The sequence below is a fragment of the Homo sapiens genome, chromosome 9 (assembly GCF_000001405.40).
Source record: "Homo sapiens chromosome 9, GRCh38.p14 Primary Assembly".
NCBI lineage: Eukaryota > Metazoa > Chordata > Mammalia > Primates > Hominidae > Homo > Homo sapiens.
The window spans coordinates 83659667-83685208 of record NC_000009.12 but is presented as its reverse complement, the minus strand read 5'-3'; the positions used below and the strand labels follow the sequence as shown (position 1 = coordinate 83685208).

General features: G+C 38.6%; 1 protein-coding gene across 3 annotated transcripts in view; it reads left to right on the top strand.

Annotated features, from left to right (window-relative positions):
• UBQLN1 (ubiquilin 1) overlaps positions 1-25241 on the top strand; it is a 47991-nt gene extending 22750 nt beyond the window's left edge. The window contains exons 3-11 of one of the 3 annotated variants that reach the window (NM_013438.5): positions 2143-2258; positions 5172-5434; positions 6610-6768; positions 7248-7482; positions 15882-16024; positions 18776-18859; positions 20064-20179; positions 21166-21334; positions 23270-25241. In NM_013438.5, coding sequence (NP_038466.2) covers positions 2143-2258; positions 5172-5434; positions 6610-6768; positions 7248-7482; positions 15882-16024; positions 18776-18859; positions 20064-20179; positions 21166-21334; positions 23270-23422 — 1438 coding nt within the window. In that variant the 3' untranslated portion in view covers positions 23423-25241. Of the gene's footprint in view, positions 1-2142; positions 2259-5171; positions 5435-6609; positions 6769-7247; positions 7483-15881; positions 16025-16577; positions 17702-18775; positions 18860-20063; positions 20180-21165; positions 21335-23269 lie in introns of those variants that run through there. The other 2 variants (NM_053067.3, XM_005251948.4) reach the window with 2 other exon arrangements.

The following is a 25542-nucleotide window of genomic DNA, read 5'->3' as shown; positions in this document are numbered from 1 at the left end:
TTTATGCTGTTGTTTACCAACAGCAAATACTTGCTTTACTCATTCAACATATTCCTTCTATTTTGGTGCTATTCTGAATACATGGTAACTTCTGTCAGTGCCAATTAATAGTGTAATTATTTTGAAGACACTTAATGTGGTAATTAAGCCCGTTACATATGATACAACAGTGTACCCAGGCATTCAGTTGAAGTCATGTAGACTACATGTGCAGGCATGTAGTTGATGCCTGGCTGTCAGCAATTGTAAGACAGATCCTGATTTCGGAGATGTTAAAATAGAAAAATGTGTGCCTTAGCTAAATTCAGGGAAAGAAGCAATGAGTGGCATTCAAAACTCTTATCTGGTATCATCTGGAAGGGTTTTTTTTATTTCCTTACTTTTTTTTTTTTTTTTTTGAGACGGAATTTCACTCTTGTTGCCCAGGCTGGAGTGCAACGGTGCGATCTCAGCTCACTGCAACGTCTGCCTCTGGGTTCAAGCGATTCTCCCGCCTCAGCCTCCCAAGTAGCTGGAATTACAGGCATGCGCCACCACGCCCGGCTAATTTTGTATTTTTGATAGAGACGGGGTTTCCTCATGTTGGCCAGGCTGGTCACGAACTCCTGAACTCAGGTGATCCACCAGCCTTGGCCTCCCAAAGTGCTGGGATTACAGGTGTGAGCCACCTTGTCTGGCTTATTTCCTTTTAGAGATAATACTAAGTAATAATCAGGCCAGGCGCGGTGGCTCACACCTGAAATCTGAGCACTTTGGGAGGGTGAGGTGGGCAGATCACCTGAGGTCAGGAGTTCCAGAGCAGCGTGGTAAACATGGTGAAACGCTGTCTCTACTAAAAATACAAAAAATTGCCCAGCACAGTGGTGTGCACCTGTAGTCCCAGCTACTCGGGAGGCTGAGGCAGGAGAATCGCTTGAACCTGGGAGGTGGAGGTTACAGTGAGCCGAGATCATGCCACTGCACCTCCAGCCTGGGTGACAGAGCAAGACTCTGTCTTTAAAAAAATAAATAAATAAAGTAATAATTATTAATCATATTGATTTGTTGGCTTTCTTTTGGTGAAGTCTCTCGCTTTTTATTGTTTTCAAGAATTTCAAGGGCCAGAGTAAAACTGGCTCATAACCCTCAAGAACTAGAAGGGGATAGATAAAAAAGTTGTGGGTTTTTTTGTTTGTTTGTTTGTTTGTTTTTCAAGAGTCTCTCTCTGTCACCCAGGCTGGAGTGCAGTGGCGCAATCTTGGCTCACTACAACCTCCGCCTCCTGGGTTCAAGTAGTCTTCCTGCCTCAGCCTCCTGAGTACCTGTGATTACAGGCATGTGCCACCATGCCCGGCTAATTTTTGTATTTTAGTAGAGATAGGGTTTTACCATGTTGGCCAGACTGGTCTTGAACTCCTGACCTCAGTTGATCGCCTGCCTCGGCCTCGCAAAGTGCTGGGATTACAGGCGTGAGCCACCGCACCTGGCCAAGATAAAAAAGTTTTTTATATAGTCAAGCTTTGTGGGTGTAACTGGTCATTGGCTTCCCTCTTATGAGATAACCTACCTCCATCTCTTACATAAGCAATATGATTGAAACTAATGAAATATTTGTGTACATTATACTCAAAGAGGAGGGGCAATTGCAGCATATTTTGTATTTTGTAGGGTTTTATTTTATTTTGTATTTTTTGTTCCTAATGCTTAGTTTTCTCAGGCTTTTTACTAAATGATAATTTGATTTGGTCTGAGAGTTTACCCTTTATTTCTAGATGTCAGGATTTCAGTGGTTCTTTTTTTTTTTTTTTTTTTTTTGAGACGGAGTCTCGCTCTGTTGCCCAGGCTGGACGGAGTGCAGTGGCGCGATCTCGCTCACTGCAAGCTCCGCCTCCTGGGTTCACGCCATTCTCCTGCCTCAGCCTCCCAAGTAGCTGGGACTATAGGCACTCGCCATCACGCCCGGCTAATTTTTTGTATGTTTAGTAGAGATGGGGTTTCACTGTGTTAGCCAGGATGTTCTCTATCTCTTGACCTCGTGATCAGCCAGCTTCGGCCTCCCAAAGTGCTGGGATTACAGGCGTGAGCCACTGTGCCTGGCCTTTGGTGGTTCTTTTAAAAATAATCAGCTCTACTGCTTACTCTGTGATTAATTATTTTCCCTAGGCCTCAGGATCATTCAGCTCAGCAAACAAATACAGCTGGAAGCAATGTTACTACATCATCAACTCCTAATAGTAACTCTACATCTGGTTCTGCTACTAGCAACCCTTTTGGTTTAGGTAAGTGTCTTTAGTCATTCCAGTAGGGATGGGAAAAAATACTCCTTTCCCTTCCTGGGTAGTTTCAGATAAAATGAGAAAATAAAACATTATGTCACTTTAACAACAAAAATTAAAAAAAAAAAACATACATTCCTATAATTGTAGATATTAAGGAAGTAGTTGGGGATATGGATATTCTTACATATCAGTTGGCGCCTTTCTTTTTAATGATGAAAGAGATGTAGTTTGTGTATACCTGATCTGACTACCACATAATTTAGTATGAGTAAGATTAGCTGGTTATTAATCGTAAGCCAGCGTCCCTGAATAATAATTTTTTCATTTGTAAAAGGAAGGGATCAGACTGCATTAGTTATTTTGTAACTGTCCTGAACACATGGAAGGGGGTCTGGGAAGCCAGCCTCGCCTAAAACTGCTTTTGTTTTTCTTATATTAGTTTTTGTTTGTTTGTTTGTTTGTTTTTTTAAGAGAGGCAGGATCTTGCTCAGTCACGGAGGCTAGAGTGCAGTGATGCCATCCATAGCTCACTGCAGCCTCAAACTCCTGGCTTACGGTGTCCTGCTGGTGTCCCAAAATGCTGGGTTACAGATGAGAGCCACTGTGCCTGGCCTGTATTAGATTTATATATTGAGGTTCTGTGGAATATATATATATATATTTTTTGAGACAGAGTCTTGCTCTGTCGCCCAGGCTGGAGTGCAGTGGCGCGATCTAGGCTCACCGCAACCTCTGCCTCCTGGGTTCAAGCGATTCTTCTGCCTCAGCCTCCCGAGTAGCTGGGATTATAGGAGTGTGCCACTACGCCCGGCTAATTTTTTTGTATTTTTAGTAGAGACTGGGTTTCACCATATTAGCCAGGATGGTCTAGATCTCCTGAATTTGTGATCTGCCAAAGTGCTGTTATCCATTTTCTTTTGATAATAGATAGCCAAACTCAGTGGCTTATTACAACAAAGCTTCATTTCTTGCTGCATTTTTCTGCATGCTACGCTTTTTACCGGTTTGTAAGGTGCCCATCCATATAGTCCCTCAGAGACTCAAGCTAATGAAAGTCATTTTTCATTCTGCTGTATTATAGCTCTACCATTTGGAACACGGCAGAAGAGACAGCTACAGGGTTTTAAGTTGAACCTGCTATACTTTGGCCAGAAGTGGCATATATCATTTCTTGTAGTCCTTTGGCATTTCACATAGGCCTGTCCAAGTGCAAAAGAAATAATAAGGCTGCAAAATGAAATGTTTGGTGAGCACTGCTATCTGCTACTGTAGTTAGTCATACTGAAGTTTTTGTGGTTTCAAGAATGCATTAATACATTTATTTTTGTGCTTTTTGTATATGGTGTTCATTGTGCCTAGTATTCAGTCCCCCTCCTAACCTTCTTCACGTTTCCTTGCCAAAGTATTTATGCTCCAGACTCATTAAGTGTTATCTCTTCTTCTGAAAGTAGCCATTCCACTTGGGTTATATTACCATAATATCCTGTGAATATTCTTTACTGAAGTACTTAGCATCTGTATAGACATTTATTTTCTTGTCTGTCTTTCCTACTAGATTGAGTTCTGAGGATGTCTTTCTTGTTGCCTTATTCTCAATACATATGTAACACAGTCTCTGGCATATATAAAAAGTGCTCAGTAAGTGAGAACTGAATGCATTTAGTTGGTTATGTAATTTTACGAAGTAAACACTTTGTGGTAAGCACTTGGTCATCCTGTTGCTCTGTTAGGTTTCTCCTTGATTGAAGTCCTCCAAAGAGAAATCTATTTCCAGGTATTCCCTGGCTCTCTGTCTCCTTGACTGGCAGTATCAGCCCTCTTGTACCCAGTGTTTATAGGTGAATTCTGCTTCCTGTTAATAAAACTTAAACTAGTCTTTTGGAAAGATTATTAGAAGCATAGTCTGGTGTGTGTATTTATTATTTCTTCCTTTAGCTGGCATAATCTGGACTGTTTTTTCTGACACCAGCCAATTGTCCAATACCAGCTCTGTGTCCAAGATTCAGCTTCATTTCTGATACTACCTACCTACAGTTAGTGTCTGATCTCACAAGTTAGCAGACTCAGTCCTGCAAGACTGCCCCTACTTCAGATACTGGTCACAAGTTCTAGGCCATCTGTACTTCTGACTGACCAGCTCTAAGTTGGGGGTTCCCCTGACCTCCTCCTCAGGTTCAATAATTGCTAGAATGGCACCTAGAACTCAAGGAAACACTTATGTTTACCTGTTTATTATAAAGGATACAACTCAGAAACAGACAAATGCTTGGAAGATAATTATTAGGGCACAAGGTATGGGTATGTGGGGGATGGAAGTTGGGCTCAAAGGTTCCATCCAGGTTTCCTCAGCGCACAACCCTCCTAACACTCAGATGTGCTTTTCATTTTGAGTTTTCTTAATTTTATTGTTGAAGAATTTGCATAGAGCTCTATCTCCACCTCCCTACCCTTACTTTCTTGGTGGGTGGGGCTGAAAGTTTTAGCCCTTTAATCACTTTGTCTTTCTGGTGACCAGCTCCTTTCTGAGGCTTTCCAGGGGCCTAAGTCACTTCATTAGCATAATGATCAAAAGGGCTTGTAATGAATAATAAAAGATACTCCTGTCACTCAGAAAATTCCAAAGTTTTAGTAACTCAGGATCAAGGAGAAAGACCAAATATATTTATTATTATACTACATACATGAAAATATATTTTGTTGATTTTATTACTTTAATTACCAAAGTGTAAATTTTTGGCTAATTTCAATGATAGGAATTAAATATTAGTAATAGGTATTCGATTTGTTTTTAAATGATTTCTTGTAATAGACTATTGGGTCAGCTAATACTTTTTTGCATCTTCATATTTTATGTCATGTTAATGATAAATTTTCTGACTTTGATTTGTATGTTTTTGCCCTTTATCCTCTTAGGTGGCCTTGGGGGACTTGCAGGTCTGAGTAGCTTGGGTTTGAATACTACCAACTTCTCTGAACTACAGAGTCAGATGCAGCGACAACTTTTGTCTAACCCTGAAATGATGGTCCAGATCATGGAAAATCCCTTTGTTCAGAGCATGCTCTCAAATCCTGACCTGATGAGACAGTTAATTATGGCCAATCCACAAATGCAGCAGTTGATACAGAGAAATCCAGAAATTAGTCATATGTTGAATAATCCAGATATAATGAGACAAGTATGTGGAAAGTTCTTTCAGTTCGTTTAGCTAAAAAATGATATATTTGTTATTTAATTTTCTGTGGTTAATGAGATTGTCCTGTATGTATGGTTAAGCTAAAGAGAGAAATCCTTATCTTGGTTTAAGAAAACTCAACAAAGCGCTAATTTGGCTGTTTGAACTCTGAATTTTCTGTTAAATTGAAGGATCTTTGTAAATAGTTTATTTTGAAGGCTTAAGAATCAAAAAGTCCAATGCTGGAGATGGGAAATTCACTCATAACAAAGTGCTTCCTTCTTTATGTTATTTGAATGCTAAGTTGCTTTTTTGAGGTGAAATACACCAGGGATTATTTAAAATAACCTCCTGCCTTATATGTTGAATACAAAATTGCAACAACTTTAAAGCTTTAATTGGTTTTTATTTGTGATTCTAGAATCAGACAACACCTCATTTTATAAAATAGAGTGTTCTCATGAGCTGAGCAGAAGAGGTTGGCTTTATAGGCATAAAAGGGCTGAAGAAAGCAAAAACGAACAAAAAGCAGATGGGTCATTTCGAAGTTACTTTCCTAATAGGGTTAAAATGGAGGGAACTCTTTCTTGTTACAGTGACTCACGTTGACTGCAGCTTACTATGGTTTTGGGGGGGAAACTGGCCCCTTTCATAGTTCACTTTGATTACATGGCACTTGGCACAAGTGGCTCTATTTTGGTTTGTTGTGGTCTGCTGGGGCATAGTGCAGGAGGCTGGTCCAAAACAGTGGCCTCCTGGCCGGGCGCGGTGGCTCACGCTTGTAATCCCAGCACTTTGGGAAGCTGAGGTGGGCGGATCACGAGGTCAGGAGATCAAGACCATCCTGGCTAACACGGTGAAACCCCGTCTCTACTAAAAAATACAAAAAAAAATTAGCGGGGCGTGGTGGCGGGCGCCTGTAGTCCCAGCTACTCGGGAGGCTGAGGCAGGAGAATGGGTGTGAACCCGGGAGGCGGAGCTTGCAGTGAACCAAGATCATGCCACTGCACTCCAGCCTGGGCGACAAAGCAAGACTCCGTCTCAAAAAAATTAAAAAAACAAAACAAAACAGTGGCCTCCCATAAACTTTGTTTAATGGCAGTTAATAAAGTAATTAATGTAATTCATGTGTATTTCAATGCCTTTTTTTTTTCTTTTTTTGGAAATATTTTTCGTAGACGTTGGAACTTGCCAGGAATCCAGCAATGATGCAGGAGATGATGAGGAACCAGGACCGAGCTTTGAGCAACCTAGAAAGCATCCCAGGGGGATATAATGCTTTAAGGCGCATGTACACAGATATTCAGGAACCAATGCTGAGTGCTGCACAAGAGCAGGTGATCCACTGGCTCCAAGGTTCAGGCCAAGGAGTAGCTTCTGTTTTAACACAAATATGTGTATGATTGAGGGTAGCTTTTATATGAGGAATGTGGTTTTCAATTTTTAAAAAGTTCAGTGGCCGGGTGCAGTGGCTCACGCCTGTAATCCCAGCACTTTGGGAGGCCGAGGCGGGTGGATCCCGAGGTCAGGAGATCAAGACCATCCTGGCTAATACGGTGAAATCCCGTCTCTACTAAAAATACAAAAAATTAGCTGGGCGTGGTGGTGGGCGCCTGTAGTCCCAGCTACTCGGGAGGCTGAGGCAGGAGAATGGTGTGAACACAGGAGGCGGAGCTTGCAGTGAGCCGAGATCGCGCCACTGCACTCCAGCCTGGGTCACAGAGCGAGACTCCGTCTCAAAAAAAAAAAAAAAAGTTTCATATCTTATTTAAAACAAAAGCTTATTCTTTGTGATTTTTTATGTCTTTTATTACAGTTTGGTGGTAATCCATTTGCTTCCTTGGTGAGCAATACATCCTCTGGTGAAGGTAGTCAACCTTCCCGTACAGAAAATAGAGATCCACTACCCAATCCATGGGCTCCACAGACTTCCCAGAGTTCATCAGCTTCCAGCGGCACTGCCAGCACTGTGGGTGGCACTACTGGTAGTACTGCCAGTGGCACTTCTGGGCAGAGTACTACTGCGCCAAATTTGGTGCCTGGAGTAGGAGGTATGCTTTTAACAACTCAGGCTTTTTTCTTTGTTGTCCTCATTTACATAATTAAAACATTGTTTATACTCTTATTCTTTGTGCTTTTGTGTGTATGTATAGTGAGTATCTTTTATAAACTATATTTTTCATGTTGCTTTTGTTTTGTTTTGTTTTGTTTTTTTGAGATAGAGCTTCGCTCTTGTTGCACAGGCTGGAGTACAATGGCACGATCTCAGCTCACCGCAACCTCTTCCTCCTGGGTTCAAGTGATTCTTCTGCCTCAGCCTCCCGAGTAGCTGGGATTACAGGCACCTGCCACCATGCCCGGCTAATTTTGTATTTTTAGTAGAGACAGGGTTTCTCCATCTTGGTCAGGCTGGTCTTGAACTCCTGACCTCAGGTGATCCGCCTGCCTTGGCCTCCCAAATTGCTGGGATTATAGGTGTGAGCCGCTGCACCTGGTCACATTTTGTTTTTTAAAGGAAGCTTTAAATGTAGAGAGAACACTTATTTACTTGTGTAGTTGTTACTAGTTACCTGTGTAGTTGTTACTAGAGCACATGTTTGCTGTCTTTAGCCTGGTTTTGTATTTTAGATCAGTAGATTGTCAAGCACCCGTCTTGAGGTCAGGGCTATACTGGCTGCATCAGAGCACCTGCCAGGTTTATTAAAAATCAGATTCCCAGATCTTACCCTCAGACTTTGTGGAGCCAAATCTTTCATAGTGGGGTTAAGATCTGTGTTTGTGTGAAGCAGATTCTCATGTGTGAACAGGTTAGAAATTTACTTTTGTCCACTTTTCTGTAGACTGAACTCAGATGTCTTCCTTTCAGCTATTCAGATACTACATGCGGATGTTTTGTCCATGAATTAGGTCCAAGATCATTAGCCATAGTGACAATTTTAGTCCTAATACTTGGCGTATAAGTAGGAAGAAATGGAGACATGGGAGCACTTCTCTAAGATGAGATAGACTGGGCATGTTTTAAAAGATGCCTGTACTTTGGCAGAGGAAGTGGAAAGATGAGGTGCTGGATGAAGAATTTTTAAAAATTCATTGCTGAAAGAAGAATCAGAATGAGAAGAGTAATTAATGATCACAGTTGATATATATTCTTTTATAGAATACAGTGGATATCTTGAGATTTATGTTTATAATATAGGTTTTGTAAAACCTGAAGTAATACCATTTTTAAATCAATAAAAATATTCTGTTCTATATTCTACTTAATCCTTACTTTGATACTAACAATCTTTTGAGAGGGTTGCAATGTTCTTACTTTAAAGGGTATAGAGCAGGCAAAGATTTAATCATATTTCCTGACTGGTTAAGCTGTTGTTTTCTTTCCCTTTACCATGATTGTCTACAGTAATAACTTTTGTCTAAAAAACCAAAAACCAAAAATCAGTTTTGCATCCTTTTACTCAGATACTTAATGGTTTGATACTTTAACATTTCATGTTAATATTTCCATCAAGGGAAAACAAGAACTAGCAAGAATGAACTTACTCTGCTGGCCTATCAGATTGTCAGCATATTTGTACAGTATTATGATTCTTACTCAACTGTGACATTTGATGCATACATATATGCACACATACACATGTAAAGATGAAATTCTTGACTCTTCTTTGGTCCTGTAAGCACCTACTCTAGAATGTAAGGAAGTGTTAGAGCAGGAGTTGACAGATTTTTCATGTGAAGGGTCAGATAATACTTCAGGTATTACTGGCCAAGAGGCAAAATGGAGAATGTATTACATCAAGAGACAAAACAAATTCCCACAAATTTTTTAATTGAAAAAATAAAAAAATTGGTAATATTTAGTTACAATATTTTCCTTGTATCTACTGATAAGAGGAATGGGACTTCTTTGGGGGAATAACATTTTGCATAATTGGGGTTCAGTGTTCTGTTTACCAGAATTGCAAAGTTCATCTGTTAATACTGATATGTAGTGAGACTTGACTGACTTATTCAAAATACGTACTCATTCCAAAAGCATTTGATTTTAATAGCATATTTATCAGTGTGGAAGGCATTTATAGAATTCCATTAGATAATGTTGTTTTTAACATGCCATTACATTCAGATTAATCACTTCAAAGTGAAAGGTAGTAGCTCCTCAATTGCACAGTTAAGTGAACTTTGAATGTCAGTTGCCTTTGCATTTGCATTGAGGTCTGAAAAATGTTGCTGGTGGTATGAGCTCAAAAGTAAATCTGCAAATTTGTGAGAATGGAGGTCTTGCTTCTTGTGATTTTTTTTTTTTTTTGACGGCATAGGAAGTCTGTAAAGCACCTTGACATTGCTTGTGATTCAAACAATTTTAGTTGTCAAAATGACTTTAGTATGATCACACATAAATGCTGCTTTGCTTTGTAGTTTTAGGTTGAATTCATGCATAAGCATTACCAACTCTCTAACAAAAACGAATTCATATAGTAATTCAATGTTTGGTTGTTGGAGGGTTGGCAGGGTAGTGGTTCTCATTTACTAAAATTTTAATCTTTGGCATGAGCTAATAAAATAATGCAATGAAACTTTACCTCTGCTAAGCCACCATCAACCTTCTGTGTGGTTAGGCATGTCAGAATATTGAGTTATTGTTAATAAAAATTCATGAAGTTGACTGGTTAAGTTTACAGGAGTTAACAGTGCTCCTCATTGATACTCCTGGTTCAGTAACATGATAGATCCAAATGTTTTCCAGAGTACCTACTGATGAATAAGACAGTCAATAACTATAGTCTTTAAATACCTTACATTTTTATATGCTTTGAAAATATGTCCAACTAAGTCGTTTTAATTCTGCACGTTTTTGCTGCCATGAGATGTAGCACATCTTAGCAGATTCTACTTCAAGTTGTACCAAATTCTTATTTCTCAACTTTTTAAAAAATGGTCTTACCCTGGTTGTTCCATTCAGACTATTTATAGAGGGTAATTTTCCGGTCACTTCAGACTTACCATTGACTCCCCATACAATTGAGCAGTATCAGTAACATCTGTCAGCTTATCAAGAACTTAGAAATAGCACTCAGAATCATTTGCGTTGTTTTTAAATTGAGTATTGACATCCTTAACTCTGAGAAAAACTGTTCCTCCTGAGAGCCGAGTAGACTTCAGTGAGTTTATTTTCTCTGGACACATTTGGTTACTGCAATCAAGATTTAATTAACTGTTAAATTAGTCATCACTAGTACTTGGCTTCCTTTGGCTAACAAGCCACTTGGAAACTTAACTTTGGTTGCAGTCTTATTTTCATTTTTATTTTTTGTGAAAAAGTGGCTATGATGAGATATTTCATTCTAAAGTTTATATTTCTTCTGACCATTGCTTTTCTGTGAGTGGGGAGTATTGTGATGAGTGGTTGGTCCGGCAGTGCTTATATATGTTGTATTCTTTTAGTGTCATTGCATAAGAAACACAAGTTTTGCCATCTCATTTAGTAAAATATATTCCACTGTGCCTTAAAAACCTGACATTTGTAACTCTCCTTCTTCCTTTTTTCTTGTTCTGGCATGATTGGTATATACTGGTTATTTTTTTTTTTTTAATGCTGCAGTGATTTTGTGCTGCATGAGTATAACTGATTCACTGTGTTTTGTAGTAGTATACTGAACAACAGTACGAAGGAGGCCAGGTGTGGCATGGTGGCTCATACTTGTTATCCCAGGACTTTGGGAGGCCAAGGTGGGTGGATTGCTTGAGCCCAGGAGTTTGAGACCAGCCTAGCCAACATGGTGAAACCTCACCTGTACAAAGAAGACAAAAAGTAACCGGGCATGGTGTGCAGCTGTAGTACAGCTACTTGGGAGGCTGAGGTGGGAGGATTACCTGTGCTTAGGGAGGTTAAGGCTGCAGTGAGCTGTGATGGCATCACCGCACTCCAGCCTGGGAGACAGAGCAAGACCCTGTCTCAAAACAAAACAAATAACAGTATGAAGGAGTGACAGTACCATAGACAGTTTCTGTTGCAAGTACTCACTGCTTTTGTAAAAGTGCAAAACACCCATAGACAATAAGTGAGAATGACTGTTCCAATAAAATGGTATTCATGGGCGTTGAAATTTGAATTTCATATAGTTTTCACGTTTCACAAAATATTTATCTTGGATTTTTTTTCCCTTAACTATTTAAAAATAAAAACGTAAGCGCAGTTTTTTTTTTTTGTTTTTTTTTTTTTTTTTTTTTAAAAGACCGAGTCTCGACCTGTCACCCAGGCTGGAGTGCAGTAGCATGATCACGGCTCACTGCAACCTCTGCCTCCCAGGTTCTAGAGATTCTCGTGCCTCAGCCTCCTGAGTAGCTGGGATTATAGGCACCCACCACCACACCTGGCTAATTTCTTTGTTTTTTTTCTTAGTAGAGACAGTGTTTCACCATGTTGGCCAGGCTGGTCTCAAACTCCCGACCTTGGGTGATCTGTCTGCCTTGGCCTCCCAAAGTGCTAGGATTACAGGTGTAAGTCACTGCACCCGACCAAAAATTGTTTTGGTTTTTTGGTTTGTTTTGTTTGAGACAGAGTCGTCGCCCAGGCTGGAGTGCAGTGGTATAATCTTGAGTCACTGCAACCTTCTTCTCCTGGGTTCAAACGATTCTCCCTTCTCAGCCTCCCCAGTAGCTGGGATTACAGGTGTGTACCACCACACCCAGCTGATTTTTGTATCTTTAGTGGAGACGGGGTTTCGCCATGTTGGCCAGGCTGCTTGAACTCCTGACCTAAAATGATCCACCCGCCTCAGCGTCCCAAAGTGCTGGAATTACAGGTGTGAACCACCATGCCTGGCCTTGAAACATAAAAGCAATTTTTAACTCATTAGCTTAGCAGAAACATGTTGTAGGCCAGATTTGTCCTGCAGGCTGTTATTTGCCAGCCTATCTTAGAATACAGATATACCTCATTTTGTTGTGCTTCACAGATAGTGTGATTTTCACAGTTTGAAGGTTTGCAGTGACCCTGCATTGAGCAAGTCTGTTAGTACCATTTTTCCAACAGCATGTGCCCACTTCATGTCTCTGTGTCACATTTTGATAATTCTCACAATATTTCAGGCTTTTTCATTATTCTGTTGTGGTGATTCTGTAATCAGTGATCTTTGATGTTACTTTAGTAATTGTTTTGGGGTACCAGGAACCACCTTGTACCTGGCAAACTTAATCAGTAAATGTATGTGTTCTGACTGTTCAACTGACTGGCTGTTCCACTTGTCTCTCTTCCTCTTCTTGGGTCTCCCTATTCTCTGAGACACAACATTGAAATTGGGTCAGTTAATAACTCTACAGTGGCCTCTAAGTATTCAAGTATAAAAAAAGACTCCTGCATCTCTTACTTTATATCAAAAGCTAGAAATAATCTTGTTTAGTGAGGGAGGCATATCAGAAGCTAAAATAGGCCAAAAGCTAGGCCTCTTGCACCAAACAGCCAAGTTGTGAATGCGAAGGAAAAGTTCTTGAAGAAAATTATAAGTGCTACTCCAGTGAAGACATGAATGACAAGAAAGCAAAACAACTTCATTGCTGATGTGGAGAAAATTGTAGTGATCTGGATAGACGATCACACCAGCCACACTATTCCCTTAAGCCAAAGCCTAATCCAGAGCAAGGCCCTAACTCTCTTTAATTCTATGAAAGCTGAGAGGTAAGGAATCTGCAGAAGAAAAGTTGGAAAGTAGCTGAGGTTGACTGGCTTATGTTTAAGGAAAGAAGCCAACTCCATAATGTAAAGGTACAAGGTGAGGTAGCAGGTGCTGTTGTAGAAGCTGCAGCAAGTTATCCAGAAGATCTCCTAAGATCATCAAGGAACGTGGCCACATGAAACAACCAGTTTTTAATGTAGGTGAAAAACAGCCTTCTATTGGAAGAAGATATCATCTAGAATTTTCATTTCTGGAGAGAAGTGAATTCTTAGCTTCAGTTCTTCAAAGGAAAGGCTGACTGTTGGGGCTAATGTGTCTGGTGACTGAGTTGAAGCCAGTGCTCATTTATTATTCCAGTAATCCTAGGGCCTTAAAAATTATGCTAGATCTATTCTGCCTATGCTCTGTAAACAGGAAAAAAAAGAAAAAAAGAAAAAAAGCCTGGATGACAGCACATCTGTTTACAGCATGGTTTACTTAATATTTTAAGTCTACTGGTGAGACGTTGCTAAGGAAAAGATTCCTTTCAAAATATTAGTGCTCATTGACAGTGCATGTAGTCACCCAAGAGCTTTGATGGAGATGTGCAAGGAGATTAATGTTGTTTTTATGCCTGTTAACTAACACAGCATTCATTCTGCATGCAGCCCATGGATCAAGGAGCACTTTCAACTTACAAGTCTTATTTAAGAAATACATTTAATTAGACTATAGCTGCCTTAGTGAGTCCTCTAATGGATTTGGGCAAAGTAAATTGAAAACCTTCTGGAAAGGATTCATTCACCATTCTCAATGTCATTAAGAACGTTCCTAATTCATGGAGAGGATGTCAAAATATCAACATGAACAGGAGTTTGGAAGAAGTTTGTTCTGTCCCTCATGGATGCCTTTGAGGGGTTCAAGACTTCTATGGAGGAGGGGACTGTAGAAGTAGTGGAAATAGCAAGAGAACTAGAATGTGAAGTGGAGCCTGCCAGGTGTGTTGGCTCATACCTTTAATCACGGCACTTTGGAAGGTTCGGGCAGGAGGATCCCTTGAGCCTAGGAATTGCAGGCAGCAGTGAGCTATGTTCGTGCCACTCCCCTCACTCCAGCCTGGGTGACAAAAGCGAGACTCCATCTCAATTTAAAAAGAAAAAAAGAGGTGGAGCATGAACACTGACTGCGTTGCTACAATGCCATGAAAAAACTTGTACAGATGAGGAGTTGCTTTTTGTAGATGAGCAAAGAGTGGTTTCTTGAGATAGAGTCTGCTGTAAGTGAAGATGCTGTGAACATTATTGAAATGACAACGAATTCAGAATGTTTCATAAACTTTGTTGATAAAGCAGTGGCAGGGTTTGAGAGGATTGGCTCCAATTTTGAAAGTTCTGCTGTGGTAAATGCTGTCAAACAGCATAGAGTGCAACAAAGTTTTCCTGATGTGGCAAACTTCATCGTTGTCTTATTTTAAGAAATTGCCACAGCCACCCCAACCTTTAGCGACCACCAGCTGACTCACTGTTAGCAGCTTTCGGCAATAAAGTATTTTTATATTTATGTGCAGAGTTTTTTTTTAGACCGAAGGCTGTGGCATACTTAATAGACTACAGTATCATGCAAACAACTTTTGTATGCGCTGGGAAACCAAAAAATGTGTGTGACTTGCTTTATTGCACAGCAGTCTGGAACCAAACCCACAGTATCTCCAAGGTTGGACTCTAGGATGTGAAAAAAAAACTAAGTTAAAATTTACAACATGAGAAAATAGGAAAAACAAGAACTATTAAAAACAGAATTATAATAAACTAGAAAGATAAGTGAGAAGAGTCAGATGTCTTAAGCCTGATATAACTGGATGGAATAGCAGAAAGGAGATGAAAAACCTAATGAGTTGACTTGGCATAGTAAGTTTGAGAATATATTTGAGTTTGAGTGTATCTAGTTGGCAGTTGAAGATCTAGGTGTGAGTCAAGCAAATTAACTTAGTTTTCAAAGAAAATTTGCCTAAATATACAGTTGTCATCACATATGGAATTCACATAAATTCAGCTGTAGCCCTTGGCAATAAAAGGAAAAACAATAATCATAAGTGCTTTGTACATTAATTTTCTTACAACCACCCTATGAAGTAGATACTGCTTTCTCCATTTTACAGATGGGGAACCTGAAGTATGAAGACGCTAGATAACTTGCCCAAGATCACATGGGTTAGATTAGATTTGAACCCACGTAATCAGGCTCCTGATACTGCTTGGAGTCACTGTGCTCTATGGTTTCAAATGTTAAATGTGCCTACCATTTTACTCAGTGAGTGGCAGTACACAGTGAAAATGGGTGGAGGCATTACATCTTTTGTTGCCTTGGGCATGAAGGCTTACTTCTTTCATAAGGGTGGGCAATATTAAGTGCCGAATATGATTCTAATTAATTCTTTGCAGTCTTGGAGGAAAAGTTGGCTCAGTCCTTTTCACTTTATGGAATTTTTCAGCAGTAATTTTGACCATACGTAATTTTTGCCTTAAGTTGACTTCAGAAGCTAGCTCTTCATTAGACAAGATTTTACTGTAAATGCAGAATGTTTAAACTCATCAGTCCTCTTTTCCTGGTATATGTTGGGCATGTACTTTTAGAGATGTTTTAGTTTTAAAGTTCTTTCGTAGTTCAGTTGATACATAATATGTATAATCATTTGTACTTGGTGAAATTAAACACAGTGCATATTATATTTTAAAGCTTTAACTTTTGTTTAAGTATTTTTCCTTAATATGTCTTTTTTAAAAACAAACTTTCAGCTAGTATGTTCAACACACCAGGAATGCAGAGCTTGTTGCAACAAATAACTGAAAACCCACAACTGATGCAAAACATGTTGTCTGCCCCCTACATGAGAAGCATGATGCAGTCACTAAGCCAGAATCCTGACCTTGCTGCACAGGTGAGTTTGTAATTGTATTGAAAAAGACTGTGCAGTGTGAATTAAAATAACCTAATCTTGTAATTGTGATTTTGGCACATTTGTGTTGTGTATGATATCTTAATACACTAGAAAAATAAGTAAACTGTGTCTCCAATTTTTTAGACCGTGTGTTTCTTTGCAGTAAATTAATACTTCATATGTAATTAAAACAACTTTATCTCTGCCATTCATTGACTAGAAAGAAGTGCAGGTTTAGTTTGTTTCTACATATGTTGAGTTAGGAGACAAGTACAGAGTTCTGGAATGCCCACTCTTTTGAAGATAAACTACTTAATGAAATGTAAATCTTGAAAGCAATTAAGAGCAATGTTAATACATTTGAAATACTTTTATTTAGTAGATCACTCAGATTATAATAGTCATGCTCAGAATGGCAGTTGTAAAATAGCATTTATTAAAGACGGGAATTTGTCAGAACAATGTTCTCCTTCTTTCAACTATTGATTCCCCTGCTGAAAATCGTATACAGGTCCCTTATTAATGTATTCCTTTTTCTAATTTGTTTCTAAAGAGACCACAGCTAAGAAAATTGGGGATCTTAATGCTGGCTGAACACTCAGGATCACTTGGGAAGCTTTATAGACAGTACCGATGGTTGGGGCCTCATCCTTAGAGATTTTGAGATAATTGCGTCCGATAACCCTTTCTCCCTCAAGTTGCCTAGGTACTATCTAGGTTCCATACCACAGGGCTTGAAAAACCACGGAGAATGTGAAATAAACCTTGATAATCTGTAGTTTATATTTGCTGTTCGTTAAAAATGGCTTCTGTAGTGTGTCAGGAATTTGGAAGACTTTATAGTTAATCTCATCCCTTAAATTTTAAAAGCTTTAAGTCAAATGAATGGTTTTTATTTTCTAAATTCTAAAACTATATTGATTCAGGTATCTTTGTGTATAATTCTCAGTAATAACTTATGCCCTCACCAAATTTGTGGAATTGGAAATAACAAATTTTAAGAAGAATTTTTGTGTCTGTGATTCTGTATATTGGAGGTACATTTTATGGAAGATTGATTTATGCATATGAAACTTATCAGACTGAGTTGTTAGTATTAAATGCTTCAATTTACCATAATAAGCCATTTTAAGTGTGTATTTGGCTAATACTGAATGTGCATCTTGCTTTTAAAATTTGACTTTAACAAGCACATGCGTAGCAATTTTGTAATAATCTTACTTTAGTAAAGTGACTTGAGCACTCACATACTATTTTTTTACTCTAAAACAAAATGTTGCTAGTACTAGATTGGCATGTCTTTTATTACAGATAATTTAGAAACTTTTACAATGTTCTTGTTATCTGCAGATTAAAATTTGTGGTTTTTCTATTCTTTTGATTTTTAAATATTTAAAAAGACTCTTGAGTGTAAAAACTTGTGGTATAAGCACTCAGGTAAGTTATAAGAAGTATCTAATAAGATGATTATCTGTGAAAGGATACGTTTAAGATGACATGCTTTTTTAAGATGAAATGAAGTGAATTCCAAAAGATATGTGTGATAACCTCGTTAATATGTTGATGATAAGTATTTGGAACCAATAAAGAAGCAGGTTTGTTGACCTTAAGCCTGTATGAGTTTACTTACTGTGAACTTACTGGTCACTTTGAAATAAATACTGTATGTTCCTGAAAGGTTGTCTGACATCTGCTTTTGTTATTGTATTGAAATTAACTAAAAGATCACTTTGCAAGAATTGGGGCGAATTTTCTCTACCAGCATTTACATTGCTCTTAAATACGGTTAACTTCTTGAGGGCAAGGATCATTTCCTCCCCAGACTTTGGATAGATAAATAGGCTATCAGTAAATCCTTGTTAGTTGACTTTTTACTCCGCCTGGGGAAAATGATATAAAATGTGTCTTTTGAAGCTACAAGAATTTATTAGCTCTGGTTATGCTCCTTGTGTATTTTAATCTTATTTTCAGGTATATGACATCATACTAATAATGATCCTGATTTTTAAATTCTTAACGTTTATTTGAAGTTTAGGAGATGCCACTTTTCTCATCTCTGGTAGTAGTGAGGTGAAATCCAGATGCTAATCTTGGTGTTCTCAAATGGATTTACATCTTTTAGGTCTTAAATCATTTTAATACTTTTCCCAGAGGACTGTTGGTGCTAGGCCTGACTGATTTTCACCTAGCAGCTCCATTTCTCTGGCAAGTTGGTTGCTGTTTTGCGGTGTTATTTTTTTGGACCTAATATTAGCTGTTTTGTAGTAGGCAGGTAGATGTAGTGGTCCTTTTCAGATCTAGATTTTCTCTGTGCCTGCCACTTGTGTGTTGAGGTTTCTAAGCAAGCCATGTTACATAGTTCATGTATTGATGTTTATGTTTATTCTGCCAGTGTAGTAGAAAATATATCTTCATGAATGCCAGTTACTCCCATTTTTCTTTCAATGGCATATATTCACGTTTGTTCAAGGAAAAGCCTAAGAAAATGATTGCTTTTATTTTTTAGGATATTGCATGTCATTATCATAACCACCATTCTCATTGAGAGAGAATATGCCTCATTTTTTTGTTTTTGTTCTTCTGGAGATCCCTCTTGTGGACAGTATCTTCCCTTTTCCTTTTTTTATTTATGTTCTACCTTCCTCCCTTTTAAGTGCCAGCTGAGGCACTTGGGGGAAGATAGAATAAAACAAGGTACATTACTTGTTTCAGATATTTCCAGTTAAAATTGTTTGAACACTTGCCCCATAGATGATGCTGAATAATCCCCTATTTGCTGGAAATCCTCAGCTTCAAGAACAAATGAGACAACAGCTCCCAACTTTCCTCCAACAAGTGAGTAAGACAAGATGTTAGCTATCTTGGGTAATGATTTGCTTGAAAAAATTTGATGATAAACATTTTTCCTTGCTCTTCTCTGGCTGATAGCAAAACATAGAATAGAGACCAATAATGCTGTCAATTCGTAGAGAATTCAGCTTGATCTTCACTGAGTCCCATTTCACTGCTGACCTTTTGCTTATGTTTCTTAAACATACATTCTGAGGAAAGAACATTTTGTTTTTGCTTTTGAGGACCTAGGATTTTGAATGCTTTGTTAATACCATAAACCATTTCCTTTCATTGTACTAACTTTGAAGTGCTTCCTTGTGTCATGTTACGCTTTATGGTTTAACTAATTTTGAGTAACAGGAAAGAGCTACCCTATTCTATTTTATAGGTTTTCTTCCAAATTAGTAGAAGGCTTTTTTTCCCCAAGGGGTAGATCTCATTTCCTCAAACTCGGGATTAGTAAGATTAAAATAGTCAGTGTTGTCATATAAGGAAGTAAGGAAGGTTATAGTATAAACGAGTACTTGAGATTGCCATGGTATTTTATTATTTAAAACGACAAAAGAGAAGTCAGTCTTGGTGTTTTGAAACTGGTAGTTCTAGGGCCTCATGTATTATGCAAATGACTCTCAGACCTGTAAACCATTTTCCAAGGTTGGTGTCCTTGATCTATTGTAATGATGTAAGCCTATCTTTGGTTAGTCAGGTGGTGTATATTTGGAAGTAGTAAAGCTAAACTCAGGATACATGTATTAACGTCAAATTTGGAACTGTTGTTTTAGAGTGTACCTTACTGGTAAAATTGTTATATTAGTAACAGATAACACTTGGTTAGGTGGAATATGTGGCTTTTTACCATATCCACGTCGTAAGAATTGTGCCTTTGGAGGTTGTGTCTTAGAAGTAATACTTTATCTTCTGTTGGAGAAGGGGAATAGTTGTGGCTTCCAAAGTAGCTCCTGATTTTCTTCCATTATGGAAATGGCTTTCATGATGGACTTAGGAGGAGGTCAAGTAATAATTTGCACACTAGGTTTGCTGTCAAAGAGGAGATACTTGCGTTTATTTTGGGAAAGAAATTATGGATTACCAGTGTCCAGGAGTAAGGTTTTAGATTTTCTCCAGAAGCATAACAGAGAAAAGATTTAAAAATTTACGTTCACTGATTTTAATTCCTTTGTAACCACTAGTTTTCTTTCTTCCTTAGATGCAGAATCCTGATACACTATCAGCAATGTCAAACCCTAGAGCAATGCAGGCCTTGTTACAGATTCAGCAGGGTTTACAGACATTAGCAACGGAAGCCCCGGGCCTCATCCCAGGGTAGGCTTATTTGGGGAAGATAATGAAAGTGTATAATGGTTACTTTCTCTGAGAATTTCAGATTTAGTATTATTCTGCCTGCCTTTTTTTTTTTTTTTTTTTTTTTGGTGGGATACAGGGTCTCGCCCTTCGCCTAGGCTATGAGTGTGGGGGCGCAGTTGTGGCTCACTGCAGCCTCGACCTCTCGGGCTCAAGGGATTCTCTCACCTCAGCCTCCCAAGTAGCTGGGACTACAGGTGTGCACCACCACACCTAGCTAATTTATATATATAATTTGTTGTTGTTACTGTTTTTAGAGATGGAGCTTTGCCATGTTATCCAGGCTGGTCTCAAACTTCTGGGCTCAAGAGATTTGGCCTCCCAAAGTGGGATCAGAGACATGAGCCATAGCACCTGGTTCTCCCCCACCGTTTTTATTTATTTATTTACTTATTTATTTATTAAGAGATCGGTTTTTGCTCTTTTACCCTGGCTGAACTTGAACTTCTAAGCTCAGGTGATCCTCCCACCTCAGCCTCCCCAGTAGTTGGGACACAGTGCCTGGCTATGATTGTTTTTAAGTCAGGGTTTTCAAAGTTAAAAATGATTATTATTATTTTTTAAATTCCTTTTAGAGATAGTCTCACTCCATCGAGCAGACTGGAGTGCAGTGGCGCGATCTCAGCTCACTTCAGCCTCTACCTCCTGGGCTAAAGCAATCCTCTTACCTCAGCCTGCCAAGTAACTGATACTACAGGTGTGCACCAGCACACCCAGCTAATTTTGTTTTTATTTTTTGTAGAGATGAAGTCTCAACAATGTTGCCTAAGCTGATCTCAAATTCCTGGGCTGCTGGGATCATCGGTCTCCCAGAATGAGCCACTGCACCAGGCCAAAAGGGCTTATTTTAAGAAGATGGCTTAGCTTATATTAAAATGTAACTGATTTACGGACTGGCTTCTGGTTTTGCAGGACCTTAGGATATTTCCTATTTGTGCTTTCTGTAGGTTTACTCCTGGCTTGGGGGCATTAGGAAGCACTGGAGGCTCTTCGGGAACTAATGGATCTAACGCCACACCTAGTGAAAACACAAGTCCCACAGCAGGAACCACTGAACCTGGACATCAGCAGTTTATTCAGCAGATGCTGCAGGCTCTTGCTGGAGTAAATCCTCAGGTATCAGTTCTTTTCCATTCAAGTTTTGTATTCCTTAATGTTGGAAATTTAGAAATTTCCAAAAAGAAGGAAAAAGGGAGAAAAAAGGAAAGCAGTAGTTCTTAGGTGTTTAGATTAATGAAAAATACAGTCTTAAGGATATTGAGTAAGAAAACAGGCATTACAAAAATTGTTGACTTTGGTGCTGAGACACTAAAGGAAACGTTGTTACGGTTGTAGAGAAGACATGCTACAACCTAAAGTCTTATTTTTTAGAAATTGCCTTTAAAAATGCATTTTTTTTGTTCCTATTTGAAAATCATTTGAAATAGATTTTGCTTTAAAAAAGTTCTTAGGGAGGAATGGAAACTTGATTATCCCAAGTACCTCCAGGGCAGCTGTATTCTAGTCTGTCTTTTGACTGGAAAAAAGTCCTAACTACCTTAACTCCACCCATGACACCACCTCCTGCGGTAGCTTGTGTTACATATATATATATCTCGTAAATATGGCTAAAGAATATGGACCCCCTAATAATGTGGTTGCATCTACAAACATACATTGGTTTTACTAATAATGTGCCATTATATAAAGATGATCGCCAGTTTAAACCTGTTTTATTAGGTTGTCCCCAAACTTCTTAATGTCTCAAGGTCTGTTAGGTGCTTTCTGTTTTCTTTTCTGGGTTTCTTTTTTCTTTCCCTTTCTCCTTTCCCCTTTCCTTTTCCTCCTTCCTCTTCCCCTTTCCCTTTTCCCTTTCCTCTTCCCCTTCCCCCTTTCCCCTTTTTCCTCTTTCCCCTCTTTGCCTTTCCCTTTTTTTTTTTTCTTTCCCTTTCCCTTTTGACAAAGTGCCCAGGCTGGATGCAATCACAGCTCACTGCGACCTGCACCTCCTGGGCTGCAGCAATCCTCCCACCTTAGCCTCTGGAGTAGCTGGGATTACAGGCGCAGACCACCACACCTGGCTAATTTTTGTATTTTTTGTAGAGCTGGGGTTTCAACCGTGTTGCCCAGGTTGGTCTCAAACTCCTGAGCTCAAGCGATCTCACCCGCCTTGGCCTCCCAAAGTGCTGGGATTACAGGCGTGAGCCTGGCCTGCTTTCTGTTTTCAAGCCTTACTAAATATAATAAATAGGGTAGGGTTCTGTCTCATACATATCTGTATTCCTGATAAGCTAGCGTAGCATAGTTTCTGGCTCTTGGTAGGTACTCAGTAAATATTCATGGAATAAATAAGAAAGAAGGATTTGGAGTATTAGAATTAATTGTGACATAAGTTAACTTACAAGCCTCCAAATTATCAGGTAGGCCTAGGATTGATTGGTCATTTATATGGAGATTTTTTTTTTTAACTTCATTTCTGAAGAAAAGATTTGATGCTGCTGAAATGTCAGAATTAAGAGTATAATTTTGGGCCTGAAACTGAAGCTCTTTTCTAAGAATTGACTGTCCAGTGCAAAAATTAAACTCACATTCATTCGAAGAATCATTGAAGCTTTAGAATTTTATACATGAGGATACCAGCTTTTATAGTTACTCAATTGGTCAGTAGCTACACAAATCATCTAATTCTGAACTATCTGTGTGTGTGTGTGTGTGTGTGTGTGTGTGTGTGTGTGTGTATATGTATATGTATATACACACACACATACAGGTTTTTCTGCATGTACGTGATCCTCTAAAATAATGGTTGATGTTTATTAAGCTTTTCTCCCCCTCCCCTAAAGTAGAGTCGTGATCTATTTGACATGATTATTTAGGTACAAACTAGACTATTTAAAATAAACTGCTAATGGACTTTTAAATATGTTGGATAAGTTTCAAGAGGTGGGCAGTGTTTTTAAAGCTCAGTAGATCAGCATATGTTATAAAAAAGCAATTAAAAAATTTTAAAAGTCATGTGTGGCAGGGACTGGCTTCCTTTAGAGTTGGATTAATTTTTTTTTTCTTTAATAGCTACAGAATCCAGAAGTCAGATTTCAGCAACAACTGGAACAACTCAGTGCAATGGGATTTTTGAACCGTGAAGCAAACTTGCAAGCTCTAATAGCAACAGGAGGTGATATCAATGCAGCTATTGAAAGGTTACTGGGCTCCCAGCCATCATAGCAGCATTTCTGTATCTTGAAAAAATGTAATTTATTTTTGATAACGGCTCTTAAACTTTAAAATACCTGCTTTATTTCATTTTGACTCTTGGAATTCTGTGCTGTTATAAACAAACCCAATATGATGCATTTTAAGGTGGAGTACAGTAAGATGTGTGGGTTTTTCTGTATTTTTCTTTTCTGGAACAGTGGGAATTAAGGCTACTGCATGCATCACTTCTGCATTTATTGTAATTTTTTAAAAACATCACCTTTTATAGTTGGGTGACCAGATTTTGTCCTGCATCTGTCCAGTTTATTTGCTTTTTAAACATTAGCCTATGGTAGTAATTTATGTAGAATAAAAGCATTAAAAAGAAGCAAATCATTTGCACTCTATAATTTGTGGTACAGTATTGCTTATTGTGACTTTGGCATGCATTTTTGCAAACAATGCTGTAAGATTTATACTACTGATAATTTTGTTTTATTTGTATACAATATAGAGTATGCACATTTGGGACTGCATTTCTGGAAACATACTGCAATAGGCTCTCTGAGCAAAACACCTGTAACTAAAAAAGTGAAGATAAGAAAATACTCTTAAAGCTGAGTATTTCCTAATTGTATAGAATCTTACAGCATCTTTGACAAACATCTCCCAGCAAAAGTGCCGGTTAGTCAGGTTTGTTGAAAATACAGTAGAAAAGCTGATTCTGGTTATCTCTTTAAGGACAATTAATTGTACAGACACATAATGTAACATTGTCTCAACATTCATTCACAGATTGACTGTAAATTACCTTAATCTTTGTGCAGACTGAAGGAACACTGTAGTATACCCCAAAGTGCATTTGCCTAGGACTTCTCAGCTTCTCCCATAGGTAGTTTAACAGGCATTAAAATTTGTAATTGAAATGTTGCTTTCACTGAAAAAGTGTCTTGATGTTTCAGTTATTTTTAATCGCCATAAAAAAATAGAACTATCTTTTGGGTTTATCTGTTTTCTCATGCACAGGCAATACACAAATTTAAAATGAGTTGTGAGCCAATTGTTTCTGAAGTGTTTTGGTAGTTCTATTAAGAAATAGTTAAATATTGTGCTTTTCAGAGCCTCAGAGAAAGGGGGACGGGGTGGGGGGGTGGGGCAGCGGAATCTGTCCTGGATGGGGCCAGCTTAAATAATACTGGCAACCAAGATTCTGTTAGGATTTCTGTGCATATAGTGTAGTAAAGAAGTATCATTCAGGGGTGAAAAACAAAGAGCCGTTTTAATGATGTTGAGTACATTTGGCTGTTTTATAGCCTTTTTCTTCCCTCCCCCAAAGAATTCTGTTTGCCTAACTCCCAAACTGTTGGGGTGGTACATTCCTTTAGGACCAATTAAAACATAATTGAGGGTCAGTGATACATTTGGCTGACTCTGGTTCAGTATTCTCTTAGGTGATTATATTCTCTCATGTACAGTTACAGGAAATTAAAATGTTAAAGTAACCTAAAATGAATTCAGACCAATAAAATCAAGGGAAATACAAGTTGATTGCATTACTTCTGTATGTTGCTTGCTATTAAAAAGGTTAAGAGGCCAGGTTACCCACCAGTCCTTGCACTGTTCTGACACTTTCCCCAGGAGGAAAACAAGTACAAAGGTTACGGTGGAGGCATAAGTAGAAGAGATTGTTAAGAAGGGTATTCATGTGTCTTTGCTCTTTCTGCTTTATGCCTCAGTTTGGTTTAAAAACTTCTGTACTGGCAAATGGTGGTATTCAGTGTGGGATAGTGTCATAACTAATTTGACAATTTATTAATCATAAAATAACAATAAATCTCTAGCTTTTACACTTGATTTGTCTTGCCTCTTTTGTAGAAAGAAAAAAAGTCTTTAACTTTTGCTAACCATGTGTTTTAAAGGCTATTGGAGTTGATTTACCCCAGATTTTGTCACATTTTACATTCTTTATTTTTCAGGTTTTCCAATTAAAACGTCACAGTCTTTTGTGGTGTGATAAAAAGATAGCACACTGGGAAGGTAGGTGACTTGAGCTCCACTTTTGATCTTGGTACTTGACTAGTTATGTGACATTGAGGCGTCATGGTTTCTTTATTATACATGTGGTGGTGAGGCTTATAGGTGTGCTGGAC